Genomic DNA, 25,896 nt, shown 5'->3' with positions numbered 1-25,896 from the left:
CACTGCTCATTAACCAGAAAGTTTCTTCTTCCCTCCCGTTCCCTCCTCAAGATCTCCCAGATCCCTGTTTCACAGAAAATTTTTGCTTATTTGTTTAATGAGAGGAAGTTTTGTGACTGGCCAGGGCAGGGCAGAGAGGGCAGGGCAGAGAAGGGACCTTTTGGGGGCTCCAGAGAAGGGGTGGGGGCAGGTGCTTGCCAGGACGGAAGGAGGTGAAAATCTCAGAAAAGTCACCGTTTGTGCCAAAAAAAAATCCCCATAATCATTCTCATTTCGGCTTCGTCACCCCCACCGTGCTGCAATCGGGCGGCGGGGGCGATCGAAGCTGCAGTTTTATAGCTGTAGAGGAAAGAACTCGTAAAATGCTAACAGCTTTTATGCGCTGCGGCATAAACAACAACAGACTCCGGCTTTATTGCGTTTTATAGTTTCTTAAAGAGTTTACAGCCGTTTTTTGGGGGGCCGGTTATCCAGCCAATTCCCTCCACACGATAGTTAAACCTTTATCAATAATAAGGAAATTGATCATTAAAGCTTTAAATATGACTACCTCGTTTGTTTGAAAATACGTTTAGGAGAGGAAGCTGTATGATTTGATAACTTGTATTAAAATACCAATTACATTTATAGGACCTTTTAAAACTCGGCGCAATTAAACCGTGTTCTTTTACATTTTTCCGAAGCGACCCTGACATTTAGAAAGACTCCAATTGCCTCGTTAAAATCGCGAAATTAACAGCGTGCCTACGCCTGGCGCGTTGTGTATGTGTGTGTGCGTGTTTTTTTCCGTGACTCCCCCACATCAGTCTTTGGGGGTGGTCTGCGAAGGTATTTGATTTGTTGTGAGGCGAGAGATATCTCATTAATGTAGGTAGTTAAACAGATTTAATCCGTATTCATTCTCTCTCACCCCCTCTCCCTCTCCCCCTCTCTCTCCCCCTCTCCCCCTCTCTCTCCCTGGGTGTTTTTTTCTTCCCCTCCTTTTTTTTTTTCCGCTCTCTCCTCACTCCCTGGCGCTCTCTCGCTCTAGCTCTCTCTCTCGCTCGCTCTCTCTCGCTCTCACCCTCGCTCTGCGTTCTGTCCGGGAGGAGTACGAAGAAGCCAATAGGATGCGGGGTCTCTAATGGATGCAAATGATCATGAAAAGACAGTGCAAAATATGAAACAACTCATTTGCAGGGAAGTAAATCACCGAAAACTGTTTATGAACTGGCATCCCTTCTTCGAAATGTAAAGCGAGGACCTCTTTAAGTGGTGGTATATTTTTGTTTGGGGGGTGGGGGGTGGGGGGAGGGCGAGCGAGCCGCGGCTGCCATGCAAGCTTAGACTTTTGGAGGCTTCTCTGTCCTTTTCTATTCCTGGAAACCACAAAAAGTGTGTCGGCTTCGAGATCTTCTTCGCCTTTTCTTTCTTTTCTTTTTTTCCCTCCTCTCTTTCCCTCTCCTTTCCTGGCGAGGGTGACTAGGAGCCGGCGAATCCGCGTTTTTTTCTCTCTCTCCCTCCCTTTCCCCCTCCCCACCCCCTCCCCAACAGCCCCCAACTATAGCCTCCGCCGCCGCCGCCGCCTCAAAATTCAATAAAATGAGCTCTTATTTCGTCAACTCACTGTTCTCCAAATACAAAACCGGGGAGTCCCTGCGCCCCAATTATTATGACTGCGGCTTCGCCCAGGACCTGGGCGGCCGACCCACCGTGGTGTACGGTCCCAGCAGCGGCGGCAGCTTCCAGCACCCGTCGCAAATCCAGGAGTTCTACCACGGGCCGTCGTCGCTGTCCACGGCTCCCTACCAGCAGAACCCGTGCGCCGTGGCGTGCCACGGGGACCCCGGCAATTTCTACGGCTACGACCCGCTGCAACGCCAGAGCCTATTCGGTGCGCAGGATCCAGACCTGGTGCAGTACGCAGACTGCAAGCTTGCCGCCGCCAGCGGCCTGGGCGAGGAGGCCGAGGGCTCCGAGCAGAGCCCGTCGCCCACACAGCTCTTCCCCTGGATGCGCCCGCAAGGTGAGCTCGCCTCGGGGCCGACAAGGGCAGGAGGGGGCCGGAAGGGCCCAAGGCCTGGCAGGCCGGGGCGCATTTCCTCCAGCTTCTGGAAGACTTGCCGGCTCCGTTCCGATCGCCTGCCGCTTTTCCCCTTTCTTTCTTATCTTTCTTTCTTCTTTCTTTTTTCTTTCCCTTGAAGGGGGTCGCTTAGAAACATTTCCTGAATCTATAAACCCCTCATCCTGCCTTACTTTTCTTCTTCTTCTCCTCCTTTTTTTCCCCTTTTACTGTTTTATGGGGGGTAGTGAAGAGAGGGTGGTGGGAGTGGGGGCGCTCAACTTTTGCACTTCTCAATTGCTTTATAGTTTAATTACCCTGAAGAAACTTTTCTTCTGGGGCAGAGGCTCTGGGGGCTTTTCAAGGTGGGTCCATTCGTCCCCACCCGGCTTTTTTATTCTTATTTTCCCCCCTCCTTCACATCCTTCCTCCTAAAGTTTATGGCACTTCTAATAGATCTGAACCACCTCCTACACAACTCTGGTGCTGGTTACCGGGGGAGGGGGCTCCCCTTTCTGGCTCCCTTAGATTCACTTGTGTCTAATCCCCCTCGCCCCTCCTCCTCCGCCGACCGCGGCCTTCTTGCGCCCCCCCCGCCCCCGCACGGGGTAGAAGGTCCCCTGCCCTTATTATAATGGTCTCCCAGGCTCGTTCACGAATCTTCCAACCTTCTCCGTCCCTGCCCCCTCCCCCACCCTCCCCTCCCCTCTGTCTCGCCCTTTCCCCCATTCCCAGCAGCCGCCGGACGCAGGCGAGGCCGACAGACCTACAGCCGCTACCAGACCCTGGAGCTGGAGAAGGAGTTCCTATTTAATCCCTATCTGACTCGTAAGCGGCGAATCGAGGTATCGCACGCCCTGGGACTGACAGAGAGACAGGTCAAAATCTGGTTCCAGAACCGGAGGATGAAGTGGAAAAAAGAGAACAACAAAGACAAGTTCCCCAGCAGCAAATGCGAGCAGGAGGAGCTGGAGAAACAGAAGCTGGAGCGGGCCCCAGAGGCGGCGGACGAGGGCGACGCGCAGAAGGGCGACAAGAAGTAGGCTTCAGCTGGGACTGCCAGGGCCGCGGCCGCCCGCACGTCCGCGGGTCCCGGCCGCGCCGCCGCCGCGCGCCCCTGCCCGAGAGAGCTCTGGCCCCGCTAGCGGGGCCAGGAGCCGGGCCTCCCACCGCAGCGTCCCCCGCCGCGCCAGTCCCCGCTAGTGGTAGTATCTCGTAATAGCTTCTGTGTGTGAGCTACCGTGGATCTCCTTCCCTTCTCTTGGGGGCCGGGGGGAAAGAAAAGGATTTAAGCAAAGGCTCCCTCGCCCTGTGAGGGCGAGCGGCAAAGGCCCGGCTGAGCCCCCCATGCCCCTCCCCTCCCCGTGTAAAAAGCCTCCTTGTGCAATTGTCTTTTTTTTCCTTTGAACGTGCTTCTTTGTAATGACCAAGGTACCGATTTCTGCTAAGTTCTCCCAACAACATGAAACTGCCTATTCACGCCGTAATTCTTTCTGTCTCCCTTCTCTCTCTCTCTCTCGCTCGCTCGCTCTCGCTCTCGCTCTCTCTCGCTGCGTCCTCATTTCCCCTCCCAATCCTCTCTCCCCTCTGCAACCCCCCAGCTCGCTGGCTTTCTCTCTGGCTTCTCTCTTTTCCTCCTCCACCCACCCCCTTTGGTTTGACAATTTTGTCTTAAGTGTTTCTCAAAAGAGGTTACTTTAGTTAGCATGCGCGCTGTGGGCAATTGTTACAAGTGTTCTTAGGTTTACTGTGAAGAGAATGTATTCTGTATCCGTGAATTGCTTTATGGGGGGGAGGGAGGGCTAATTATATATTTTGTTGTTCCTCTATACTTTGTTCTGTTGTCTGCGCCTGAAAAGGGCGGAAGAGTTACAATAAAGTTTACAAGCGAGAACCCGAGACTGGCCCGGCCAGCGCTCCTCATTTGCTCCCGGGTGCCTTGCAGAGCCGGTGGGGAGCCTGTCACCGGGCTCCTGCGCCTGCTGAGGCTAGGCTGCAGAGAGGAGGGGGCGGGGGCTGGAGGCAGGTGGTGCGAGTCCCTCGGCCCAGGGGCGCTGGGGGTGAGGGAGGCGGCTGAGCCTGATTGGAGGAGAGAAAAACGAGGGAGGGGAGCCAAGAGAAACCCCCTCCTCTCGCGTTCCGAGGCTGCCCGGCCAGGGAGGCCAGGGCGCCCAGGCCACGCTGGAGACCTGCGGCTGGGCTGGTGGCTGTGTCCCCCGCCACCTCCCTCTTTGTTTTGCTGTGTGTCCTCCCAAGATGTGTGTCGGGAGGTGGGGTGGGGGGCAGGCATAAAGGTGGAGTGCAGGCCTGCTGAGCATACTTTTTTTCCCTCGGACTGTTGTTGTTGGGGGAGCAGGAGGAGAAGGGAGACCGCTCTTCCCTGCCTCTCCCTCTCAGGGACTTGGCCACCTTCGCTCTGTTCTGAGGCCATGGCTCTCTGCCTTCCTTCCTTCGCTGCCTCTGCTTCTCTGGTAGTCACGCTCCACTGAGGCATCCGCCTCCGGGAACCGGGAGAGCAGCGCGCCCGGGCCAACCTCCACCCTTCCTTTCTCTCCCCACCCTCCCAACCCCCTTTTTCTTTTACTTTCAAACCTTTTTTTTTCTTTTTCTTTCTTTCTTTCTTTTTTTTTTTGCCACCAGAAACGGCAGCGTCCAAGGCCCGTGGGCTGGATCCTGTGCCCTAGGAGCACCTAGGAAGACTTGCTCCATCTCCGCCCGCATATCTGGGGCACCAAGAGAGACAGAGTCGTGAGCCAGGCTCGCCTCATTCCTCGTCTTGGGAGAACCGGACCAACTTCCCCAAAAGGCCTTGCCGTGCAGAATTGGCCTGGTTTAATAAAGAACAGACCTGCCCCAAGCACCCACCCACCCAGTTGCGTGCATTCAATCCCTGCGTTTGTCTCTCGCTCGGTAACGGGCTGAAGAGGATGGGTGGAGGGTGACACGGATCGCCCCGAGGTTATTTATTTTCCCTTCCACTCAATCTCTTCCTCCCCAAATCTCGCCTGCAAGCGGCCTCCAGCCCGCGGGAGTCGGCAGCGGCCCTTGAGCCCCCAGCCCCAATCCACAGGGCTCGGCTTTCCCATTCATTATTGATCATATTTTATAAATCCAACGCCACACAATTTTTTCCACATTACCGGGAGCCGTGGGGAGACGGCCCGGCCATTGGCGGAGGGGACGTCACGTGGGCGGGGTCACGTGGTCCGGAGAGGAAAAAGGGGGTCCTTTTTGGTGTAAATCTGGACTCTAATTCTGTAATATATCAAGGAATCTCGTAAAACCGACACTAAAACGTCCCTGCCTACAAATCATCCGGCCAAATTATGAGTTCATTGTATTATGCGAATACTTTATTTTCTAAATATCCAGCCTCAAGTTCGGTTTTCGCTACCGGAGCCTTCCCAGAACAAACTTCTTGTGCGTTTGCTTCCAACCCCCAGCGCCCGGGCTATGGAGCGGGTTCGGGCGCTTCCTTCGCCGCCTCGATGCAGGGCTTGTACCCCGGCGGGGGGGGCATGGCGGGCCAGAGCGCGGCCGGCGTCTACGCGGCCGGCTATGGGCTCGAGCCGAGTTCCTTCAACATGCACTGCGCGCCCTTTGAGCAGAACCTCTCCGGGGTGTGTCCCGGCGACTCCGCCAAGGCGGCGGGCGCCAAGGAGCAGAGGGACTCGGACTTGGCGGCCGAGAGTAACTTCCGGATCTACCCCTGGATGCGAAGCTCAGGTAACGCCGCGCACCGAGCTGTCCTGAGCCCCAGGGGCCGGGGCACATTACCCTGAAGGCGCCTCCTTCCCGGCTGGGCGCCCCTTTCCGCGTCCAGAGTGCTCCCAGCCGGAGGTCGGCCCTGGAAGGCTGCACCCACTGGGCCGCGACCCAGCAGGCCATCCCCGCCCCCATATTTGCTCGGTGCTCTCAGGCTCGCTCTGCTTCCCGGCGGATCTCTCTTCGCCGGCACCACGGCGCTGCGAGCCCCCAGCCCGCCCCCACCCTTCCTCTCGGCCTTTTAGCTTTAAATATTTATCAGCAGCGCCGGCACGGGCTGGAGACGAGGCCGTTTGTCTTGCGGAGGAAGGCCGGTGTTTGCAGAGAATAGCCATTAGGGTCTCCCCCTTCTCCCCCCTTCCCAGCTAAGGATCTCAGCCCTGGGTGTGTCCCCCTGCCCCACTCGGATAAGGTATGGGGGAGGGGGCCATAGCGCTAAGCAATTCTCCCCTCCCCCTTCCTCTCCAGCCAACCCCGCTCCCCCATTATTCCCATCAGGACAATTAGAGGTGGGCTCTAGAGGCCTGGCGGGAGGAGAAAAGGACCCAGCCAGGGACACAGAGCTAGAGAGGCAGGTGGAGGGAGGGGGCTGAGGCCAAAGGAGATGATCCTCCTGATCCCAGTGAACCTGGGTGGGGGAGTGGAACAGGAGAACTAGAAAGGGGCAGAGGCTTCATGGGAGTGCAGCTGGCTTCCTGAGGTGCTCTTCCTAGGGCTCCTAGGAACCCCTAAAGAACTGGCCAAGTTTGGAGGTGTCATTCCAGATAAGTGACCCTTTTCTTGGGGGAGGGGCTAGGACTCTCTGGAGCCAATTCAAAAATTAGAGAGTGCAGTTCACCTAGCCAGCTGCTGCAGAACCCCAAGAGGCTGAGGTTCCATGGGGTCCCTGCCGAGTCTGACCCAGACATCCTTTTCTGCACTGTTCCAAAGCAGACGAACTTAGGGGCTAGCCCCAAAGTCCAGAAGACCCAAGACTCATGGTCAGAGGCACCCAACCCAGCAATGGTCAGGGGCCAGAAGCAGCCCAGCTCTCATACCATCAGTATTAGTGGTTATAGGTCCCATTACCTGCTCCATAGTTTAACTGCCTTTCCAGTTGATTTATCAAAGCCCCATTTTTTCTGCTCATCAGCATTTCAGCTTGGCTTTTATCTGACTTGAAACTAGGGCCCCTAGCCCCTCCTCCCTTGTCTCCTTCCCAGGAGGGCTGACATCAGCACCTCTTTAAAGTCTCCTCAGGTTCTGGTCCTAATGCAGAAGTTCCCCTCTACCCTTCAGTCCCCACCACCCAGATACTCCATGTTCCATCCTATCCCAGGCTGCTGTCTCTCCTTTTCCCCTGTGCATTCCTGGAGGCCCAAGGATTGCTTTAGAGAGCTGGGCTGTCTAGGCAAGCAGGCAAGCAGGACAGCCTGGCCCTGGCTGAAGCTTAGCCACTCACTGGAAAAGAATCATCAGAGGGTCACTGCTGTCAGACCAACTCTTTGCTCCAAGGAAATCTGCAAATTCTTACCTTCTCATTCCACAACATGCTGGGGATGAGTTGGGGGGACTGGGCCTTTGAGGCCCCTTTGTCTCCTTTTCTTCTTGGGAAACGTTCTTAAGCTAGGCCTGGCGCCCCACTCCAGGGTCACTTGCATGGTTTCTCTTGGTCTCTACTGGAAAGACCATCAGATCAGCATTCAGAAAAGGGGGTTTAGGGTCCTTGACCCCAGAGAGTGAAAGGAGGATTAACCTCCCCTCATCCCACTTGCACCCCTTAGGTGCAGAGCCTTTAAGAGCCAGCAGATTACTTTCCTGGGTTCAGAAGCTCCAGGCTAAAAAAGACTTCTTGGATGAAAAATGGGAATGTTTGCTTTGAGAAGCCTGTAGAAAGTTCAGCAATTAGGGGAGTTTGCAGCTGGAGTAAGGGCTGGGGTATGAAAAGCCAGAATTTGGTTTAGTGGGAAAATGGGCTTCTTTGCCCATCGCCCATTGACTTCAAATCACATACACGGTATAAGAGGGAGGTGGCCACTCTCTTGGCGTTTCCTTTTTTTTTTTTTTTTTTTTTTTTGAGACGGAGTCTCACTTTGTCGCCCAGACTGGAGTGCAGTGGCGCAATCTCGGCTCACTGCAAGCTCTGCCTCCCGGGTTCACGCCATTCTTCTGCCTCAGCCTCCTGAGTAGTTGGGACTACAGGCGCCCGCCACCACGCCCAGCTAATTTTTTTGTATTTTTAGTAGAGACGGGGTTTCACTGTGTTAGCCAGGTTGGTCTCGATCTCCTGACCTCGTGATCCGCCCGCCTCGGTCTCCCAAAGTGCTGGGATTACAGGTTTGAGCCCACCGCGCCCGGCCGGCGTTTTCTTTACTCACTGATTTTCCTCTGAATACTGTGTGCAGGAACTGACCGCAAACGAGGCCGCCAGACCTACACCCGCTACCAGACCCTGGAGCTGGAGAAAGAATTTCACTACAATCGCTACCTGACGCGGCGGCGGCGCATCGAGATCGCGCACACGCTCTGCCTCACGGAAAGACAGATCAAGATTTGGTTTCAGAACCGGCGCATGAAGTGGAAAAAGGAGAACAAGACCGCGGGCCCGGGGACCACCGGCCAAGACAGGGCTGAAGCAGAGGAGGAAGAGGAAGAGTGAGGGATGGAGAAAGGGCAGAGGAAGAGACATGAGAAAGGGAGAGGAAGAGAAGCCCAGCTCTGGGAACTGAATCAGGAAACTCAAATCGAATAGGGAAGTAAAAAAACAAAACAAAAAACAAAAAAAACAAAAAAAAAACCCTATTTAAATGAAAGGAGTTTAAAAACATTTTTTAAGGAGGGAGAAAGGAGAAATTTTGGTTTTTCAACACTGAAAAAATACTACCTATAGGAAAGTCTGTCAGGTTTGGTTTTTTTGTACAATATGAAAAGGATATTATCTACCTGTTCTGTAGCTTTCTGGAATTTACCTCCCCTTTTCTATGTTGCTATTGTAAGGTCTTTGTAAAATCTTGCAGTTTTGTAAGCCCTCTTTAATGCTGTCTTTGTGGACTGTGGGTCTGGACTAACCCTGTGGTTGCCTGCCCTCCTGAGCCTCCGCCTTCCCAGCAGCGGCACCAAGGGGCCTTAGGGAGCCCCAAAACCTACCACTCGCGTGTTCCCCAAGCGCCTGGCTGCTGCTTCTTGCTTCCCGTCCCCCAGCCCCATGCTCCCTTTTACATTCTGTGTGTATCTAAAGGATGGAAAAATAAAACGCAATTAAAAATAAACAGATGCCCTATTTTCTGTGTCTTCCTAAAGCTGGGAAGGGGTTCAGGGTTAGAGATGAGTGGGCATCCCAGAGCTCCTTGGCTCTGACTTCTGATGCAGCTTCATTTCTGTGCTGAGTTTGTTCTTTTTCTTGGTGCCTCCTGCTCTGGGGGGCTGCCAAGTAGTGAACCCCGATATTGCACTCATGCATTCCCTTTACACCCTTTTACACCCATTGACATACATGATGCACACAGTCACATGTGTTTACAGGCTGACATCAAACATACACACTGTCACAGTCACAAAGAGACACTCATACCCATATGTTAACAAACATACAGGCATTCACGTAATACCAGCTTCACGCCCAGAACATAGGCATTCATGTTCACACACGCTCACAAGTAAACACACATTCACACTCACAGACACATTGATACCAACGTACATTCACACATTGGCTTATAAACACAGATTCACATTTGCCCCCAAGTAAACGCACTCAGAAGCCCACATGCTTAGTCACACAAGCTCACAAAACAACAAAACAAAAACCTCACAGTTTCACAAACCCGCGTCCTCATTCAGGCCTGGAAACCAAGCTGCGGGATCTGGATCTGGGCTGCAGCCCAGGCACAAAGACGGAGCTGAAATCCAAGCTGCTAGGCCCCACATGAAGGAAGAGCGGAAGGAAAGGGAAAATGAACACCCAAATTCACTCTGGCTTCTTGGGTGGCGTTGCGTAGAGGCCAGGCCTGGGAGTAGAGGCCTCTTAGTCGGCGCAGAGCAGCCTCCAACTAGGGCGCTCACGGCTTCCTGCTCGCACGGCAAACATTTTCGCCAAGAGCTATTCCTATATTTTATTTCGATTTATTTTACTTTCTTTGTCTTAATTTATCTCGTTCTAAATTGATACAGACGACCCAAATAAAACTTTAAAATAGGGGGTGGGGAAGGGAATGAGTCCGGGAGCAAGATCCTAAGAGGTGCGAGTTTACCAGGCCGGTGTGGCCGCATCCCGGCCGCTCTCGGAGCCTGACCACGCCACGCCCGGGGCTTCCTCCGAGCCTCTCTTCCCGCTCTCTGCGCCGCCGCCGGCAGCCTGGAACCTTCTCCGCTGCACAGAGAGAGAGGGGGGAAAATGTTGGGGGAGGTTATTTCGTTTCCAGAATTCGGGCATTGGTAGGTCAACTTGAAATACGGGGTTATTTCAGGGGACCTGAAAAACCTGGGCTGAATTTTTATTTTATTTTTTGCTTCCAAACATCCGCTGATTGCAGGACCAAAACTTGGAGGATGGTGTCTATGCGGCTAGACCCGCTGAATTGATTTTTAGCATTTATTCGATTATAAACTCTGGATTGTTTAAATTTAAACAGACTTTGGATAGAAAGAGGGAAGAGGGTTGGTTTTAGGATAATCTGTTGAATTTGAATTTGTATGTAAAATGCTTTTAAACCTGCAGTTTCCCCCATTAATGACCACGTAACGCCCTGGAGAGCGCATGGAGCTGTCATAGGAAACCTGGACTTGCCTGCATTTGGGCGGGAGAAGCCAGGATCCGGCTTTACCCTCCCCCAGTTTCTGGGTTCCGGAGGCGAGAATCAGGTTGTCAGACTATCTGCCTTGGCCCCCATCCAGGCCACTTTTCCTCCTGGGGCAAAAACTAAGCCCTAGGGAATCTAAGGCCCCCACGCCTGCAATGCTGCAAGCCTCACAGGTGGGGGTCCTGCTGTCTACAGGGCTAGGAATGAGGGGGCCAGTTCAGAGGGGGAGAGGGGACACTGAAGCTTTCATTTTGCCCTTATGCAGGTGGCAACTCTAGACACCGTTTCCTGCTCCTGCCTCACCCCAAAATTGTCTCAGAACAGTCCCTATGCAGAGGATTTGGGGTAGACCTTTACTAGAAGAGGGAGCAGAGCTCCTGTGGAGAGTGGGGAGGTTCGGAAAAGAACCCCCTTCCCAGCTGTACCGTTATGGCTTTTGCACTCTGATTTCCTGCCCCCCCAAATCTCACCCCTTCTCAGATTGGGGTTTCCCCAAAAAGAGAGAAGGAGAAGAAAAGAAGATGGCGACTGAGAAAAGGGTTGCTGGTGGAGCAGCCATGAAGAAATGCAATAAATTCCTTGTTGTTTTATGAAAATTTACAACTTTGTGATAGAAGTTTATGAGTGGTTGAATCCAGCGATTGGCCGGCGCCGGTCATGTGGCCGGGCGATCGTGAACATGAACTTTTTATCATTTCCCTGGTGGTTATAATGCAGCATTCTTTTGGACACCACACCTAGGTCGGAGCACTGTCGTCCTTCAGGGCTCCAGCCTCTTGATATTTTTGTACTTCAGTATCAGCTCGATAGAGCAAAAGAGAGAGAGGACGAGAGAGGGGGGTGAGGAGAAAAGAGAGAGAGCGCGAGAGGGAGAGGGAGAGAAGGAGGGGTGGGAATTACACAAAGAGAGAACCAAAAATAATTTTGATTCCTAAGTTAATTTGCTCACTGATCTGGGATTTTAGTCACCATGGAGGGTAAATGGACAATCTGCCCAGGACTGCAGCCCGATACTATTTTTCAAAGCCAGAACTTACTCCATTTTCTATGCAAATGTCAGAAAAATGAAACACCCTCTCTCCCAAGTCAGAGAAGGGGAAGCAACGGCTCTCACGTTGGGACAATATTATCTGGAAGCTGAAGAAGAAACTGAATACTCCTTCCTTCCTCCCCACCCATTCCTTTAAATCCGGAGGGGGAAAAAATCCCAAGGTCTGCAAAGGTAAGGGAGATTCTACAATTTTCTTCTTGTTCTTTTGCATCGCTTTTGTAGGGTGGGGGTGGGGCTTGGGTTTTTCTCCCTCCTCCCCCGTTCCAAGACGGGGCTGAACCCCACCTCTGGGCGCTGCAGGGAGAAGCTTCCCAGGAAATTCAGTGGTGGAGATATGGGTGGCTGCTTCCTGGAGGGGGAGCCAAGGCAGGGAAAGCGGGAAGAGGAATCAAAAGAGGGCCAGGAGACCAGCTCTAAGTCGCCTTTTTAAGCTTGGAGGAGAGACTCAAGCAAGGGGGGTGCGAAAGAGAGGATGGGGGGTATCTGGGCTTCAGTGGCACCCAAAGAAGCCAGTGGTTCTGGCCTCCGCGGGCTTGCCCCTCCCCCTCCTGCCATCCCTCCCTTGTCTCGGCCTCTGGCTATTGCCCCAGCGCAGTTCTCTTGCCTGGTGCGGATATCGCTGGGTTCCCGGCAGCACTGGCATGTGAGGCGGTGGCGCTAAGGGACGTCCTGGTTTCTATAGGGCCTGGAATCTCCGCCGAGGCCGGCGAGGGAGAGGAAACGGCTAGAGAAACACAGAAAAGACAATTTACAGAGAAATGTTTACTATCTCCCTTCGGAGACATTTTTGAAATTAAAGGGCTGTGGGTGGAAACACCAAAAATGAGGGAGACTCCCCCCTCACCAGGAAGCCTGCCCGAGAATGCCCAAGTATCTCGCCACTCCCGCAGGAGGGAGCCTCGCTCTACAGGGAGACAGTTTTGTGGTTTTAATGCGGTAGGTTACAGCTGTTGGTTTCTGCGTGATACTGATTCTATTACTTGCGTTGTATTGGTATGGGATGTGTGGATTTCGGTGGAGGAAAAAATTGCCATGTGTGTGTCTGATATGATAACATTTCAAACTTTCCTGGGTCCAGACATGGTGATTGTGAAGAAGCTGTTAAGTGCCTTTTTGTTTTAGGCTTGTAAATAAAAATAAAAGAGAAAGAAATGAAAGAAGAAAATAAAAAGAAAATCCAATTATGGGACCTAGCGGCGTCTAAACTGAAAAGCTAACTGGCACTGAGCTCAGACAGTCCCGTCCCTCGGGTGTCCAATTTTATCCCTCAGTCAGGCCTTCTAGGGGGTGGGGAGGGCGGAGAACATTGGGCAGGTGACAGAGATTCCTAAAGTAGCTCGTGGGGTGGAAGTAGGTGCCAGCCTTGAGGCAAGGACTTAAAAATGGGGTAAGGGAGCTTCTGGGGAAGCTTCCAGCCAAGAGATAAGTGATGTTGGCTGTGGAGGGCAGGAGAAATTGTGATTTTTAGTCTGGTTTGCACGAACATGTGATTGCTTTTCTCTTTCTTAAGACCAGATGCAGGACATTCAGCCTCGGGCCTCTGGTTGCCCCGGAGTTACAGGGTCTGGGGCGTTTTGGAAGTGGGGATATATTTATTATCTCAGTCCTAAGCTAGGAGAGGGACGACGCTGCCACTTGTGGCGCGGAAGAGGCGGCTCTGTGGCCCCAGGTAGATGCCCTAGGTTCAGGCCCGGCCTGGGCGCCTGGAGGGACCGCTGGGCTTCGTAGCTAGAGTTCTCCGCCAGCACCCACGGCACTCGGGGACTATTCTCAAGGGAAAAATTTCCCAAACCCACCCATACTAAAGGTCTTTTTCTCCTGTAGTCTTGGAGGGTTATAAATCCTCCCTTAGACAGTTCGCTGTGACCCAAATTATGCGGTCTGCTGCCATCTACCGTCCGTTCGGAGACACGCGGCTTCGGCGCCGCAAGCCCCGCGACACTGTCCAGAGGTGCCCGACGCCTGGAGCCCCGGCCTCGCAGGGTCCACGGGATTCGGGGGATTTCGGGCCCACACCGACGCTCTCAGCTAGATCTTGGTTCCCCGGTGTGAGTTAGAGAACAGAAGTCTCTCCTCCACCCATCATCCCCAATTTCCCACTGCCCCCGTCCCCGCCCATCCTAGCCCCAAACCTGGCGGCTGGCAAGGGAAGCGGCTTCCTCTAGGGCATATATAAAAAGGTCTAATTCTGCTTCCAGCGGGCAGGGGCCCTGAATCAAAGGGTGGAGGGATCAGAGCCGACACCCCCACCGCCATCCCCACCCCCACCCCACCAAGGCGCGGGAGAGGATGAGGCCGCTTGAGACATCCGAAGCCAAGGCTGTTCAAGGTTTATTTGGTTTTCTTCTCAGCCAAGGGAGGGGACCCGCAGGGCAGGCGCCGGCCCCGTCAGTTCCACTCGGTTGTCAAAAGACAAACCGGGTCTGTGTTCTCCTGGTTGGTTAGTGGGTTTTGCCAGCTCCTTGGTTGGTGGGTCCGTGGTGAAGGAATTGAACCGAATTTTCTGGAAACTGTTGATGTCTGCAAGTGAGTGCCGATCCCCTCCTCCATTCTCGATCTTTTCAAGCGAAGTCTACCTAAATATGATTTGGGAAAAATTTGGTAGTGGGACTGGGGCCAAATCCTTAAGGAACCACACCGTCGTAATTTCCGTTCCTGTTGGACCCTCCACACCGGCTTAACTCGACCTCCTTCCCAAGAGGGGGTGGCCAGGGCTAGGCTATGCGCCTCTGCTGCAGCGTTTGAATATTGGCCCCTGTCTCACGGGTTACTGATTAGCTTGGGCTTTCAAGCCGTAGGAGGAAGCTCTGGCAGTTCCTTTAAAGGTGCTGTGGTCCCCGTTCCTGGGTGGGGGTGGGGTTCCAGGAAATTGCCTGCGGTGCCAGGCAAACCAAGGTGTTGCCAGAGTCTGGCCGAGGGCTAGAGGAGCTGACGAGGTTAAGGGGCCTGGTGGTGCTGGGGACAAACACTGTGGCTGCAGCCCTCACCCTCTTTCGGCGCCTCTGGAGCAGCTCTTTATAGCTTTCCTGCGGCGAGGTGACTTTCTGGTGGCTATAAGGCCCGACTCAAGGAGCTGCTCTATAGGAGGCCCTGAGGGAGCCAGCCCTAGAAGGTCCTTGGCCCCTCTGAGATTTTGCTTTTGGGCAATCCAAAGGACATGTAGAGAAGTCAAGCTGGTACATGGTATTGAAACACTTCAGGGCCCTCAGGTTGTCCCCTGGACCTGCGGGTAGGAAACCGGGAGAGTGGGTTCAGCACTACTGCTCACTCCCCTAAAGATCAAAGAGGATGCCGCTCCTTTGCATAATGAAAATGAAGTCTTTGTACTTTGATTTGGAGGGGCCGATTTTAGGGCAAAGTGTCTCATCTAAACAGCCTCCCTCAACCTATGGGAGTGATCACTCAGTACCCCTGGGAACATTTATTTATGTTCCCCAAACCCAGAGAAACAGAGTCCAGGACGAGAATTGAGTTGAAATATTTTCATCCCACCCCACCCCAGCCAAAGTTGGGGGTGGTGGGAGAAGGTGCTCATCACCTCAAAGAGCTGAGGGAGAGGGCTTTATAGCTTAGAGGAAATTGGAAGCCTGGACAATGTCTCAGCACCCTCCCACACACACCACACCACACCACACACACACACACACACACACACACACGCAAATATCCCTCCTGAGGTTACCTATCAAGAATTTTACTCCCGAACTGAACACAACTTAGGAAACATTTTCCTGGGAGCTGGAATGTGTTAGCTTGCCCACAGGACTGCAGACTCACAGCATAGAAAATTACAATTATAAATCCTGCCTGTGGGGTATCTGTACAATCCCTCTGTTATGTACTCAAGAATTGGTACACACTTCTATCCATCTCTCTGAACACACACTTCCTCATTGAGGCAGGGAGAGACACCCCAGACTGGCGGATGGCTGAGCCCGCTGTGTATTTACATATTCCCCCAAGGAGACAGACAGAGGGCGGTGGACCGAACCACAGACAGATTCGTAGGGATCTGGCTCCAGAAAGGAGTCGGTCTCTGGCCTGCCCTGCCCGCCTGCTCTTTTTCCCAAACAAACGGATCAGACGAATAAACGCTCATAAATACCTCTGGGCTTAGATAAGAGCGATGAGGCGCTATTTTCTTTCATGCCCGACTCCAGGCGCCCAGGCCCGCCTGTAGTGGCTCCATCTCCAGACAAGCAACCTGCAGAGGTGAGGTTAATTTGGGGGCTGTGACTCTAAAGATAAGGCAATTATTTCCCTGCTTCTGACACAGGGAAATGCTCCCTTCCTCACCAGATCTTATTTTGTTCAGACTTCACTGAGAAAACCACACTATTTAGTGCTAGGATGGAGACATTGTGGGCAGGGAGGAGGCAGGGAAGGCTGAGGCCCAGGGCTCAGCCTCAGCAGTAGGCAGGGAGGTGCATGCAGGTACTCTCTCCCACTTTTCTCCCCCTGTTCAAATGGCCCCTAGTCCTCTCTAGAAGCAAGCCCAGCCATACCTAGATATGGAATATTTATCCTTCTTCATTATCAGGGGGTTTAAATTTGTTTTCTTAAATGCTTATCAAACACTCCCACAGAGTCAGGTTAGGAAGTAATTGGAGGCCATCTAGGGATGGCTATTTTGCCATTAAGGTACAGCCAAGAAGTTGCCCTGAGTTTAGAGAGCCTTGGAGACCACGTTGCAACCAAATAAGTTCCCACCCTTGGTGATCCAAGCTCAGTCCCCTGCCACCTTCCCTAGTGTCTTGTACCATCTTCAGTGGGCAGAACTTGGCCAGAAAAAGGAGCCCAAAGGAAGGACAAGGCAGAGGAGGGTCAGCCTGGCCTGACATCTGACTTTGTTCCATGCCCTGGCCCCTTCTTGTCCCCAGGTGTGAAGGTTGTCACCCTTCACTACTTGGCCTGTGTATGTATATTAGAATGTTGGGAATGCACTGTGGCCCTGTCTCCCAGCCTGGGCTCAATGCTTATTTTCCTTGGATGAAAGAGCCAGAGACATACATTCTCTGACACACCTAAATTTGTAAGGCGGCAAAGCTGATGATACAAACACGGGGTGTGGGAGGGAATTGTAGCGATGCTGAGATACAGACAGAAGGGAGAGGGGATGCTGGCTGATGGCTGGAAGCAGCCTGCTGAGTCCCCAAGAGAACGCAAACGACCTTCTCTCCCTATCAAACTAAAGCAAAAACCAAGTCTTGGGAAAGAATTAATTTTAAAAAGAACTGGCAGCTCCTACAGAGACTTAGAAGAGGAGTGAGGATGCATTTCTTCCCAGTGGTCTCTGACTGCCTCAACTATCAGGAGGGTTCAAAGCCCACAACTGGAAGAAGAATGATTTCTTCCTTGTGCCCAGATTTACTGGGACATCCCTGATTCCTGAAAATCCTATAGCCCAGGCTATTCTTAAGTCTTTTGGGATTGTAGAGGGTACTGGAGTGAGGGTTGCAGGCAGGATAGGGATCAGACAAATAAAGCCACCTAGGCTGAGGGATACCCCTCACTCCTTCACTCCATATCACCAAGTGAGGAGAGGGCTAGTCCCTTTCCCCAGTGCCCCTTCCCCTGCCAAGGGTGAGCAGCTGCATACTAGAACCAGGCAGAATGTTTTGGGCAGCCACCCTCGTCGCCGCCTTCCAAGAAGCTCCTAGTCTAGCCACAGAGTCAGAAGGGGAAGCTTGGGCTCAGTCCCTCCTGCCAGCTCCTCCTCTTCTGGGTCTTCTAGGCAGTGGGATCTGGCCTGCCCCCTCAGACCAGAAGGGTTGTGGAGAAGCAGGAACAATAAGCCGAGGCTTGGAGGAGACAGAGCAGATCTGATAAACAGGAAAAACGATGTTCAAAACCTGGGGAGGAGGGTGTTTCTTCTTTGCTTATCTTAGCGGAGAACTCTTCTCACCTTCTACCGACACAAAACCCTAGAAACAAACCTTCTTTAGTTCTCTCTCAAGGCGATTCGGAGACATTTACCCAACCCTCCCCGGAGAGAAGGGGTCGAAGCAACGCAGGGGTTAACTTTTCTGAAAACACAATTAACTTTTTCCAATCCTGCGTGGGGTGGGGGAGAGACATATTTATTTAATCACCCGGGAGTGGGGTGGTCTCAATCTAAACGTTCCCTCCTCCCTCAAAGGCACTGAGCCTGTTTCACAGATCCTACGTAGGTGGAACAGGACGCGTTGTGTTGTTGGGGGGAGAGAGGAGAAAGGCGAAGGAGAAGGAGGAAAAAAAAAAAGGTTGATAGGTTTGTGCGCGGGTCCCTCGTGCGGGCTGCGCTCCTCCTGGGTGCTATTTGACAATTCCTGCCTCTGCCATTGGTCAGTGTTGGATCAGATGGTTGTATTTCCTTCTGGCCCTCACTGGCACCTCGCCATCCCCCCTCAGCTAAAACCCAATCTCGGATATACTACTAATAGGCGCGGCGCTCGGACTATAAAACACAACAAATCATAAACCCGGCGGAGCAGCAGCGGCCGCGCGCGCCTCCCCTCCCAATGAGTTCCTATTTCGTGAACTCCACCTTCCCCGTCACTCTGGCCAGCGGGCAGGAGTCCTTCCTGGGCCAGCTACCGCTCTATTCGTCGGGCTATGCGGACCCGCTGAGACATTACCCCGCGCCCTACGGGCCAGGGCCGGGCCAGGACAAGGGCTTTGCCACTTCCTCCTATTACCCGCCGGCGGGCGGTGGCTACGGCCGAGCGGCGCCCTGCGACTACGGGCCGGCGCCGGCCTTCTACCGCGAGAAAGAGTCGGCCTGCGCACTCTCCGGCGCCGACGAGCAGCCCCCGTTCCACCCCGAGCCGCGGAAGTCGGACTGCGCGCAGGACAAGAGCGTGTTCGGCGAGACAGAAGAGCAGAAGTGCTCCACTCCGGTCTACCCGTGGATGCAGCGGATGAATTCGTGCAACAGTGAGTGAGACTTCCCGTCGCCGTCGCCCCGGCTCCCCTGGGCGCCCACCCCGGGACACAGAACTAGTGAGCGCCCCCTGCCCCAATCTCCCACAGGGTGCTGGGTGGGCATCTCAGTTAGGAGATAGAAGAAGATTGGGCGCCGGCCGGGGGTCTCTCGCTGTGTCCCCTATTAGGCAGGAGTTACAAAGTTTGCAAAGTCCCAGCCGCACTGGGAGCCATGGGGAGCAAGTGTGCTCTCCTGGGGCGCCTGGCCAGAGCCGGGGTTCCAGGACAGGGAAGGGAGCAGGAGCCTGCAGTCACTGGCTTGGCTTTACTTTGAGCCCCCAACCCCCCTCTCCCAGCCCTGGTAGGGTTCCCCAACCAAAGACGGCTCCATTAAAAACGGAGTGCGTCATGCAAGGGGGTAGGGGGTGACGCTGAAGAGAAAGAGTTGAGTCTGTCTGGGACTGTGTTTCCCTGTGGGTGGGGAGCTGGGGCAAGATGAGGCACCAGGAAAGGGGTGGTAGTCAGAGGAGGGAGGAGGAATAAGGGGAAGGAAGAGAGAGGGAGCAGGCGGAGCGAGAGAGGGAGAAACAGGCGCGGGGTCTCAGGTTGGATTATTTGTTGGCCTTAAGTCCCAACTGATGTCCATTAGCCGGACTCGAAAGTGAGGAGCCGTTAATGTGGACTATGGATCGATCTACGTCATTACGGATTAACGGCCTGGATTTATCATTGGGTTGGGGGGATGACGGGGGGTGGGAACAAGATGGATGGAAAGGGAGGGAAAGACAAGATGCAACTAGGAAGAGACACACCTGACCAGCCCCTCCCCCCAGGCTCAGGTGGGAGTTCAAACTGCTCCTCCCCTCCCCCATCTAGAGTCTAGACAGACGGCACAGGCCTAGGAGACTAGGAGGGAATCTGGAGGGGGCGCTGGAGGAGTGCGAAACGGGGGAAGGGAGCCGGCAGAATAGAGGGCATCCCGGTACTGGCTGGAGTCTGTGTTCGAGGGTCGACTAGGGGAGGGGGTCCTGGGCCCGGTGACCGCAGGCCTCAGCATCTCCACTCTGCGTAACAGGTTCCTCCTTTGGGCCCAGCGGCCGGCGAGGCCGCCAGACATACACACGTTACCAGACGCTGGAGCTGGAGAAGGAGTTTCACTACAATCGCTACCTGACGCGGCGGCGGCGCATCGAGATCGCGCACGCCCTGTGCCTGACGGAGAGGCAGATCAAGATATGGTTCCAGAACCGACGCATGAAGTGGAAAAAGGAGAGCAAACTGCTCAGCGCGTCTCAGCTCAGTGCCGAGGAGGAGGAAGAAAAACAGGCCGAGTGAAGGTGCTGGAAAGGGAGGGAGGACGCGAGGGGAAAGGCCTGTGGGGAGCCGAGGGCGTCAGAGAGACCCGGGAAGGAAGGCTCTCGGGTGGGGGAGCCAGGAGACCTGCTCTCCGGCGCAGACAGGCGGGGCCCAGCGCTCTCCTGGACGCCCCCGCCCGCACAGCTCCCGGCGGGTGCTCTGAGGCCTCACTACTCGAGCCCACCCAGCATCCCGCGCGCCCTTCCTTCCCGAGGAACTCGCCTCAGCCTGATCAGGCTTCCTGGTGAGAACTGAGGAGCGGACTCACTTGATGTTTCCTGGAAGCAGAGCAAAATGCTCTTGTCCCTGTCGCGTCTCATTTTGTCCATGTCCCCCGTGCACGGTTCAATGGTAGATTCGCTGTCCCCTCAGCGGGGGCCTTGAAGACTCCCTGATCCCAGACCTGTCGTCTCTCCCACCCCCTCCCCAAAGCCACTGGAAGGAGCACATACTACCTAGAAGTAAGAAGAGGAGCCTCAGAAGAAAACAAAGTTCTATTTTATTAATTTTCTATGTGTTGTGTTTGTAGTCTTGTCTTAGCTCTGGACGTGAAATACTTCGATGATGATGATGATGATGATGATGATAATAATAATAATAATAACAACAACAACAACAATAATAAAGATGTGAAAACTCGACGCTCGGTCACCTCCAATCCTCCCCTGCCATTTTTTCCTCTCTCCTCAACCCCCAGCCTCTCCATCTTTCCTGAGCCAGAATTCTTCAGCAAAGGCGAGAGCCCTGGCCCGCCGAAGCGAGCCCTGTTCGACTGGGAAGTTACAGCTGAGATAAAGGCTGGAGCGATCAGTCCTGCCCAGGCCCCAGCGCTGCGTTTCCCTGGTGCTGAGGCTCACAGCCGCTTCTCCCCGTGCAGACTTGGGGGATGGAGAGGTGCTGTGTCCCTCTCATTCTCTAGCCTTTCCTCGTGTATACACAGCACTAAGGGAGCCACTGAGGCCCCTAAAGCTCTCTGGCGGAGACGGAGCCATAGTCTGGGGGCCTCTGCAGCGCTTTTCTGTCCTCACCTTCGCAGCGACCCCTGGTCTTTGGCCCGTCCACATGGCCAGGTTTTTTCGCCAGCCTTGGCCCTCCGCTCCTGGCCTGTGGCTCTGGAGACTGAAAAATGGGGCCACTGGGTATCTCTCACCCTGCAGCTGAAGGCTCCAGGTGCCCCTTCCCACCTCAAGTAGCAGATCAGCCTCAAGTAGGAGATCAGCCTCAAGTAGGGGAATGTAAAGCCACCAGCCAGGCACAGGCCGAAGGCCACAACTTTCCCTTGCTCCTTGGAGACCCCAGGGCAGGAGGCCAGGTGATGGGGCTTTTAGTGTCATCCTCTCAACCCAGAATGGCTCATTCTCTCTCTGCTTGCACCGGCACCCAGAAGGCAAGCTGCGGTCACTGTTTTCCTTTATTCCTCCGCCCTCTCGCTTCCTTTCTTATTTTTAAAGAAAATAGTCCCCTCCTAATAGGAGACCAGCTGCGGCGGTCTCTGGCCGCCCAGCGTGCTCAGCAAAGCATGCGGGTCCTTGGAACCCCTTTTCCGGGAAGGCGGCTGCCACCAGGCAAATTCTCAAACTGCCTAGCTGCGAGTGAGGGACCTGTAGTGGGGCCTCCGAATGCAATAGCCGAGGAGGAGGGGAAGGGATCCCGCTTTACAAACTCTCAGACACATGTTACTACTCAAACTAAGCAGCAGACGCGGTGGCCGCTGCAGTCTTTTCGGCAACTAGGCCGCTTAGCCCCAGCTGTGCTCGGTTTCTGGGGTCCCTGTCCTGCTCTGTCACTCCCCACGCCTGGGCTAAGGACCACCAAGGAGGTCCGGAAGGGGATTTCGAACTTCCAAGTGGCCCAGGAGAAGTGAACGCTTCTCCTTCTTTTTCAAGCCTCCCGCCCAGCCCTGCCGGCTCGGCCTGGGCGCTGTGGACCGGTAACAGCAGTTCCACCAGGATGCAGGCCGGACTAAGCTCCTGGGGAAAACCCGTTGCAATAATTGTTTTTCACACACAACTTCCAACCCTTCCCCCATTTCCGCCTCCAATTCGGAGACTTGCAAAGCCCAAGAAAGGGAAAAGCAACTCTATCTTTGATCTTCTCATCCAAAGTTAAAATAATAACGACAATGATGATGTAGGGAGAAAGAACCAAATAGAGAGGCTAACCCCACCCACAAGAAAGTGGGTAAAAAGCCCAACCCCTGCTCTAAAAGGCTCAACCCTGTGGCTGAGCCTTGGCCGGGTTTCTTTCTCTCCCGGCGACTGCAGGGAGCCTGCAGGGAGCCAGCAGGGAGGCAGCCGCCCGCCGCCATGGCGGTCTCACGCCCGCGCTCCCGTCGGTCGCCGGGAGGTGGCGCGCTCTGCTCAGAGGCCAAAGCCAACCTTCTCTCTGTTTCTCCCCCTTCTCCTTTTTTCCCCCTCTCTCGGAGGCTCGCATTGAATCGGCCCTAACGATTCTCGGATCGTCATTATTTGTAACCATAGAGCATGAATTACCTCTTGAGGTCATCAGCGAGAATTTACGACTGGTCAACAAAAGCACGTGATTCCCTAACGCCCCCCACCCCCCTTCCAACCCCCCCCCCATATTTGGCCGCATACATAGCAAAACGAAGTACAGTGCATCGCTATAATTCATTAATACATCATAAATCGTGAAGCACAGGGTTATAACGACCACGATCCACAAATCAAGCCCTCCAAAATCACCCAAATGAGCTCGTACTTTGTAAACTCCTTCTCGGGGCGTTATCCAAATGGCCCGGACTATCAGTTGCTAAATTATGGCAGTGGCAGCTCTCTGAGCGGCTCTTACAGGGATCCCGCTGCCATGCACACCGGCTCTTACGGCTACAATTACAATGGGATGGACCTCAGCGTCAACCGCTCCTCGGCCTCCTCCAGCCACTTTGGGGCGGTGGGCGAGAGCTCGCGCGCCTTCCCCGCGCCCGCCCAGGAGCCCCGCTTCAGGCAAGCGGCTTCGAGCTGCTCCCTGTCCTCGCCCGAGTCCCTGCCCTGCACCAACGGCGACAGCCACGGCGCCAAGCCCTCTGCTTCGTCCCCCTCCGACCAGGCGACCTCAGCCAGCTCCAGCGCCAATTTCACCGAAATAGACGAGGCCAGCGCGTCCTCGGAGCCTGAGGAAGCGGCAAGCCAGCTAAGCAGCCCCAGCCTAGCTCGGGCGCAGCCAGAGCCCATGGCCACCTCCACAGCCGCGCCCGAGGGGCAGACTCCGCAAATATTCCCCTGGATGAGGAAGCTTCACATCAGCCATGGTAATTCTCTCTCTCTTTTTTGTCTTCTCGGCTTTCCTTCTCTGCGTTTTGGGGTGGGATCGGGGGGACAAGGAGAGCTTGGCTTTACCCTAAATATAGATTCATTTTTCTAAGGGGGAGAAGTATCTAAGAGGGGCCTCATAGCTTCGTAGACAGAGCCAAAAAGGGTCTCTCTGTTAAGAGGGGGGTATTTTTAATAATTTGTTTCCAGCTTCGGCTTAGGTTTTTATTAGCGCAGCTGAACCAGCTTTAGGATAAAGGATGGGGTTCATATAATGTGGGGAAGGGTCCTGCTTACCCCTGAAATTTTGAGACTGTCGCTAGCAAAGAAGGGGTGAACAGTAAAAGGAGCTTTCCGGGGCAAAAGTGCAACCGCTCTCCTCCCTCCCGGGGCGAGCGGCCGCCTGAGCCCAGCCAAGGGTGAGGCACTAGGAGCGAGCAAGAGACAAAGCCGGGCGCACTGGCTGCCTGCAGAAGTGGGGGATGCAGTAGAAAGGGGTGCAGAAATCGAGCTTGAATGTGGGCATCTGGAGTAGAGAGGATTGGAGCTGTGGTGAGCTGGGTGCCGGGACGCCTGGGTCCTGCTCCCCCGCCCCCTCCCACCCAGTGCCCCCTCCCTTAACCGGAATAATGTTGCCTTGCGGCTTTCCTCTATCTGCTCCAGATATGACCGGGCCGGACGGGAAAAGGGCCCGGACCGCGTATACCCGCTACCAGACCCTGGAGCTGGAAAAGGAGTTCCACTTCAACCGCTACCTGACCCGGCGACGGCGCATCGAGATCGCCCACGCACTCTGCCTGTCCGAGCGCCAGATCAAGATCTGGTTCCAGAACCGGCGCATGAAGTGGAAGAAGGACAACAAATTGAAAAGTATGAGCCTGGCTACAGCTGGCAGCGCCTTCCAGCCCTGAGCCCGCCCAGAGGAGCCCAGCGGCCCAAGAGCCCGTGCCACCCCCAGCCCTGGCCCCTCCAATCCTCCCCGCTCTGCCGCCGCCCGCTGGGGACCGGTTCCCACAAGCCTGCCTCGCCTTGTGTTACGATATTTCGTTTGGTCTTAGGTCTTCCTGTGGCTCCCTCTCTCCTGGACTGGTTATCTTGTTATTATTGTTAATAATAATTATTATTATTATTTTCCTTCCATGCTCCCAACTCCCTTCTGCTTGTCCCAAATCCGCCAGTGTTTCTGAATGTTTGTGTCTGTGGTTGCAGTCTTTCCCCCAGGAAAAAAAAAAAAAGAAATTCGCATGTTTAATGTGAACTCTCCCCTCCCCATCTGTGTTCTAACTTATTTATAAAAAGATGATCGCTGTATTTTGAGTTTCAGCTGGAAACTTCTGTAAGGGGCAGCAGTTGAGGTGGGGTAGTGCCGCAGTGGGGTCAAGCTGAGCTGGCTTCGGAGATGGAGTCCCTTTTCATTCTCCTCCTCCTCCCTCCTCACTCCCTAGGCCCAAGTCTCCTAGGGGCTTGGTCCTAGGGTGGGAAGGGGCTAGGGAGGACCAAAGGGATGGTATTGAGAAGAGAGAAAGAAGATAGTGAGATTTAAGTTCCTGCTGCCTGGGTAGGCCCCACAAGGCCTGGTCTGGGAGTATACGGAAACAAAAATGATCCTCAGTGCAAAATGTCTTGTGTATTTCTCTGTGAATCCATGGGTCTGGCTAGAGGGCCCAAAGCTTGTAAATATGGGGATAGTCTGGGTCAGACCCATCTCTCCCTTACCCATCTTGCTTCCAAGACCATTTGTAGTGAGCGAGTGGATGCTGTGCTACGTGTGAAATCTGTCTTTGCGGGGCCTGTCTCAGTGATTCGCTTTTGGTATTTGTTTGTAGCTTTCCTGGAAGTCAAATAAATGTTTCCCCCACTCCATTGCCCTTCCACTTGTCTTTTCTCCGAGGGGTCTGCCTCTCCCATCCCGGGCACACCCTGCACCATTCTCAATAGATCTGGGGTGCAGGGAAGAAAAAGTAGGCTGCTCCCCAACAACTCTTCTCAGCCATGTAAGTCACTGGCTTGGTCAACAGTGCTTGGGCCAGGGAACAGACCTTCATGCCTGGGGGACTCCAAGGCCCAGAAACCCCATGTGGGGCTGGGGCAGAGGAAAGGCTGAGCTAGACTTCATCCTGGTCTTCCACTAGCTGGCCAAGGAAGCCTCTGGAAAACTCTTCTGGGAAAGTAATTTGGGCCTAAGTCCTCAGCAGGAGGCTCCTGGCCTTTTGGGAGTGGTAGAGGCCTGCCCAGCCCCCTGTCTCCTACTCCAAGTCCCAATTCAGCTCTGCCACCAACTAAAGCAAAAAAAAAAAAAAAAAAAATTCAGCTGGATTTCAAAGGATTTCTCTCACCCTCAGCCTTCCCTACCCTTATCAAGGGCTCCTTCTCTCCAAGGGCCCAACTGATCTTCCCTCTTGATTAGGAGTTAGGGTCCTTTCAGAAAGACCCCTGGTTCCCTTTCAGCCTGGCCCAGGGCTAGGGCCCAGTCTACCTCCATCCAAGTCAGCCTCCACCCTGAGCACAAGAGTCAAGTCTGGACACTTACCCGGTCAATCCCTTCCAGCTTGGCCCAACTTCTTACTGGACTTGGAGGGAGGGGGAGCTGGTGAGGAGGAAGCCGAGGGTCGTGGAGGCTCTACTTGGCCCTCCTTTCCCTTCACCCCTTGACTTTGTCTCCCTTTGTCGATAGCAAACTATCCCAAAAGTCGCTATGACATTTAGATGTCAAATGGATAGGGGTTTTAT

At 54.1% G+C, this 25,896-nt stretch overlaps 4 protein-coding genes and 1 long non-coding RNA gene across 15 annotated transcripts, besides 15 other annotated features; 4 read left to right on the top strand and 1 right to left on the bottom strand.

Annotated features, from left to right (window-relative positions):
• The first annotated feature begins 993 nt into the window (after positions 1-993).
• HOXB8 (homeobox B8) lies at positions 994-3,940 on the top strand. The gene is made up of 2 exons (NM_024016.4): positions 994-2,005; positions 2,777-3,940. The coding sequence occupies exons 1-2, from the start codon at positions 1,582-1,584 to the stop codon at positions 3,082-3,084; spliced, it is 732 nt and encodes a 243-aa protein (NP_076921.1). The 5' UTR covers positions 994-1,581; the 3' UTR covers positions 3,085-3,940.
• Positions 3,936-4,756: an enhancer, noted in NCBI's record as "H3K27ac-H3K4me1 hESC enhancer chr17:46688892-46689712 (GRCh37/hg19 assembly coordinates)". NCBI's record gives its function as "activates a minimal SCP1, AML or CMV promoter by ChIP-STARR-seq in primed H9 embryonic stem cells {active_cell/tissue: H9 hESC(primed)}" and the evidence as "EXISTENCE:reporter gene assay evidence [ECO:0000049][PMID:30033119]".
• Positions 4,093-4,142: a silencer, noted in NCBI's record as "silent region_8657". NCBI's record gives its function as "represses an Ori minimal core promoter by ATAC-STARR-seq in GM12878 lymphoblastoid cells {active_cell/tissue: GM12878}" and the evidence as "EXISTENCE:reporter gene assay evidence [ECO:0000049][PMID:35858748]".
• Positions 4,757-5,576: an enhancer, noted in NCBI's record as "H3K27ac-H3K4me1 hESC enhancer chr17:46688072-46688891 (GRCh37/hg19 assembly coordinates)". NCBI's record gives its function as "activates a minimal SCP1, AML or CMV promoter by ChIP-STARR-seq in naive H9 embryonic stem cells {active_cell/tissue: H9 hESC(naive)}" and the evidence as "EXISTENCE:reporter gene assay evidence [ECO:0000049][PMID:30033119]".
• HOXB7 (homeobox B7) lies at positions 5,269-9,054 on the top strand. The gene is made up of 2 exons (NM_004502.4): positions 5,269-5,767; positions 8,191-9,054. The coding sequence occupies exons 1-2, from the start codon at positions 5,368-5,370 to the stop codon at positions 8,442-8,444; spliced, it is 654 nt and encodes a 217-aa protein (NP_004493.3). The 5' UTR covers positions 5,269-5,367; the 3' UTR covers positions 8,445-9,054.
• Positions 5,577-6,397: an enhancer, noted in NCBI's record as "H3K27ac-H3K4me1 hESC enhancer chr17:46687251-46688071 (GRCh37/hg19 assembly coordinates)". NCBI's record gives its function as "activates a minimal SCP1, AML or CMV promoter by ChIP-STARR-seq in naive H9 embryonic stem cells {active_cell/tissue: H9 hESC(naive)}" and the evidence as "EXISTENCE:reporter gene assay evidence [ECO:0000049][PMID:30033119]".
• Positions 8,222-8,767: an enhancer, noted in NCBI's record as "H3K4me1 hESC enhancer chr17:46684881-46685426 (GRCh37/hg19 assembly coordinates)". NCBI's record gives its function as "activates a minimal SCP1, AML or CMV promoter by ChIP-STARR-seq in naive H9 embryonic stem cells {active_cell/tissue: H9 hESC(naive)}" and the evidence as "EXISTENCE:reporter gene assay evidence [ECO:0000049][PMID:30033119]".
• Positions 9,872-25,866, bottom strand: HOXB-AS3 (HOXB cluster antisense RNA 3). 8 transcript variants are annotated; one of them, NR_110331.1, is made up of 4 exons: positions 25,697-25,866; positions 15,741-15,839; positions 14,623-14,858; positions 13,945-14,211 (listed from the first exon to the last, which is right to left on the bottom strand). It is a non-coding gene; the product is annotated as an HOXB cluster antisense RNA 3 (long non-coding RNA). The 8 variants fall into 8 exon arrangements; NR_033201.2 differs by lacking the exons at positions 13,945-14,211; positions 14,623-14,858; positions 15,741-15,839 and adding exons at positions 9,872-10,154; positions 12,240-12,359; NR_033204.2 differs by lacking the exons at positions 13,945-14,211; positions 14,623-14,858; positions 15,741-15,839; positions 25,697-25,866 and adding exons at positions 9,872-10,154; positions 12,240-12,359; positions 23,922-23,994.
• HOXB6 (homeobox B6) lies at positions 11,300-20,535 on the top strand. Of its 4 annotated transcripts, none has more exons than NM_018952.5 (4): positions 11,300-11,424; positions 11,671-11,806; positions 18,058-18,550; positions 19,614-20,535. In NM_018952.5, exons 3-4 carry the CDS (start codon positions 18,136-18,138, stop codon positions 19,871-19,873), a joined length of 675 nt encoding a protein of 224 aa, NP_061825.2. In that variant the 5' UTR covers positions 11,300-11,424; positions 11,671-11,806; positions 18,058-18,135; the 3' UTR covers positions 19,874-20,535. The 4 variants fall into 4 exon arrangements, with proteins under 4 accessions (NP_061825.2, XP_011523029.1, XP_047291864.1 ...); XM_011524727.4 differs by adding an exon at positions 12,318-12,571 and having other exon boundaries at positions 11,300-11,806; XM_047435908.1 differs by having other exon boundaries at positions 11,300-11,806.
• Positions 13,274-13,323: an enhancer, noted in NCBI's record as "active region_12337". NCBI's record gives its function as "activates an Ori minimal core promoter by ATAC-STARR-seq in GM12878 lymphoblastoid cells {active_cell/tissue: GM12878}" and the evidence as "EXISTENCE:reporter gene assay evidence [ECO:0000049][PMID:35858748]".
• Positions 13,434-13,483: a silencer, noted in NCBI's record as "silent region_8656". NCBI's record gives its function as "represses an Ori minimal core promoter by ATAC-STARR-seq in GM12878 lymphoblastoid cells {active_cell/tissue: GM12878}" and the evidence as "EXISTENCE:reporter gene assay evidence [ECO:0000049][PMID:35858748]".
• Positions 18,187-18,286: a silencer, noted in NCBI's record as "silent region_8655". NCBI's record gives its function as "represses an Ori minimal core promoter by ATAC-STARR-seq in GM12878 lymphoblastoid cells {active_cell/tissue: GM12878}" and the evidence as "EXISTENCE:reporter gene assay evidence [ECO:0000049][PMID:35858748]".
• Positions 18,517-18,566: an enhancer, noted in NCBI's record as "active region_12336". NCBI's record gives its function as "activates an Ori minimal core promoter by ATAC-STARR-seq in GM12878 lymphoblastoid cells {active_cell/tissue: GM12878}" and the evidence as "EXISTENCE:reporter gene assay evidence [ECO:0000049][PMID:35858748]".
• Positions 19,623-19,792: an enhancer, noted in NCBI's record as "active region_12335". NCBI's record gives its function as "activates an Ori minimal core promoter by ATAC-STARR-seq in GM12878 lymphoblastoid cells {active_cell/tissue: GM12878}" and the evidence as "EXISTENCE:reporter gene assay evidence [ECO:0000049][PMID:35858748]".
• Positions 19,850-20,521: an enhancer, noted in NCBI's record as "H3K4me1 hESC enhancer chr17:46673127-46673798 (GRCh37/hg19 assembly coordinates)". NCBI's record gives its function as "activates a minimal SCP1, AML or CMV promoter by ChIP-STARR-seq in naive H9 embryonic stem cells {active_cell/tissue: H9 hESC(naive)}" and the evidence as "EXISTENCE:reporter gene assay evidence [ECO:0000049][PMID:30033119]".
• Positions 21,564-22,069: an enhancer, noted in NCBI's record as "H3K4me1 hESC enhancer chr17:46671579-46672084 (GRCh37/hg19 assembly coordinates)". NCBI's record gives its function as "activates a minimal SCP1, AML or CMV promoter by ChIP-STARR-seq in primed H9 embryonic stem cells {active_cell/tissue: H9 hESC(primed)}" and the evidence as "EXISTENCE:reporter gene assay evidence [ECO:0000049][PMID:30033119]".
• Positions 22,070-22,577: an enhancer, noted in NCBI's record as "H3K27ac-H3K4me1 hESC enhancer chr17:46671071-46671578 (GRCh37/hg19 assembly coordinates)". NCBI's record gives its function as "activates a minimal SCP1, AML or CMV promoter by ChIP-STARR-seq in primed H9 embryonic stem cells {active_cell/tissue: H9 hESC(primed)}" and the evidence as "EXISTENCE:reporter gene assay evidence [ECO:0000049][PMID:30033119]".
• Positions 22,299-22,368: an enhancer, noted in NCBI's record as "active region_12334". NCBI's record gives its function as "activates an Ori minimal core promoter by ATAC-STARR-seq in GM12878 lymphoblastoid cells {active_cell/tissue: GM12878}" and the evidence as "EXISTENCE:reporter gene assay evidence [ECO:0000049][PMID:35858748]".
• HOXB5 (homeobox B5) lies at positions 22,507-25,029 on the top strand. The gene is made up of 2 exons (NM_002147.4): positions 22,507-23,165; positions 23,830-25,029. The coding sequence occupies exons 1-2, from the start codon at positions 22,604-22,606 to the stop codon at positions 24,075-24,077; spliced, it is 810 nt and encodes a 269-aa protein (NP_002138.1). The 5' UTR covers positions 22,507-22,603; the 3' UTR covers positions 24,078-25,029.
• Positions 22,834-22,883: a silencer, noted in NCBI's record as "silent region_8654". NCBI's record gives its function as "represses an Ori minimal core promoter by ATAC-STARR-seq in GM12878 lymphoblastoid cells {active_cell/tissue: GM12878}" and the evidence as "EXISTENCE:reporter gene assay evidence [ECO:0000049][PMID:35858748]".
• Positions 25,867-25,896: the final 30 nt, after the last annotated feature.

The sequence above is a fragment of the Homo sapiens genome, chromosome 17, assembly GCF_000001405.40.
Source record: "Homo sapiens chromosome 17, GRCh38.p14 Primary Assembly".
Taxonomy (NCBI): domain Eukaryota; kingdom Metazoa; phylum Chordata; class Mammalia; order Primates; family Hominidae; genus Homo; species Homo sapiens.
This window is presented reverse-complemented; position numbering and strand designations above follow the sequence as displayed.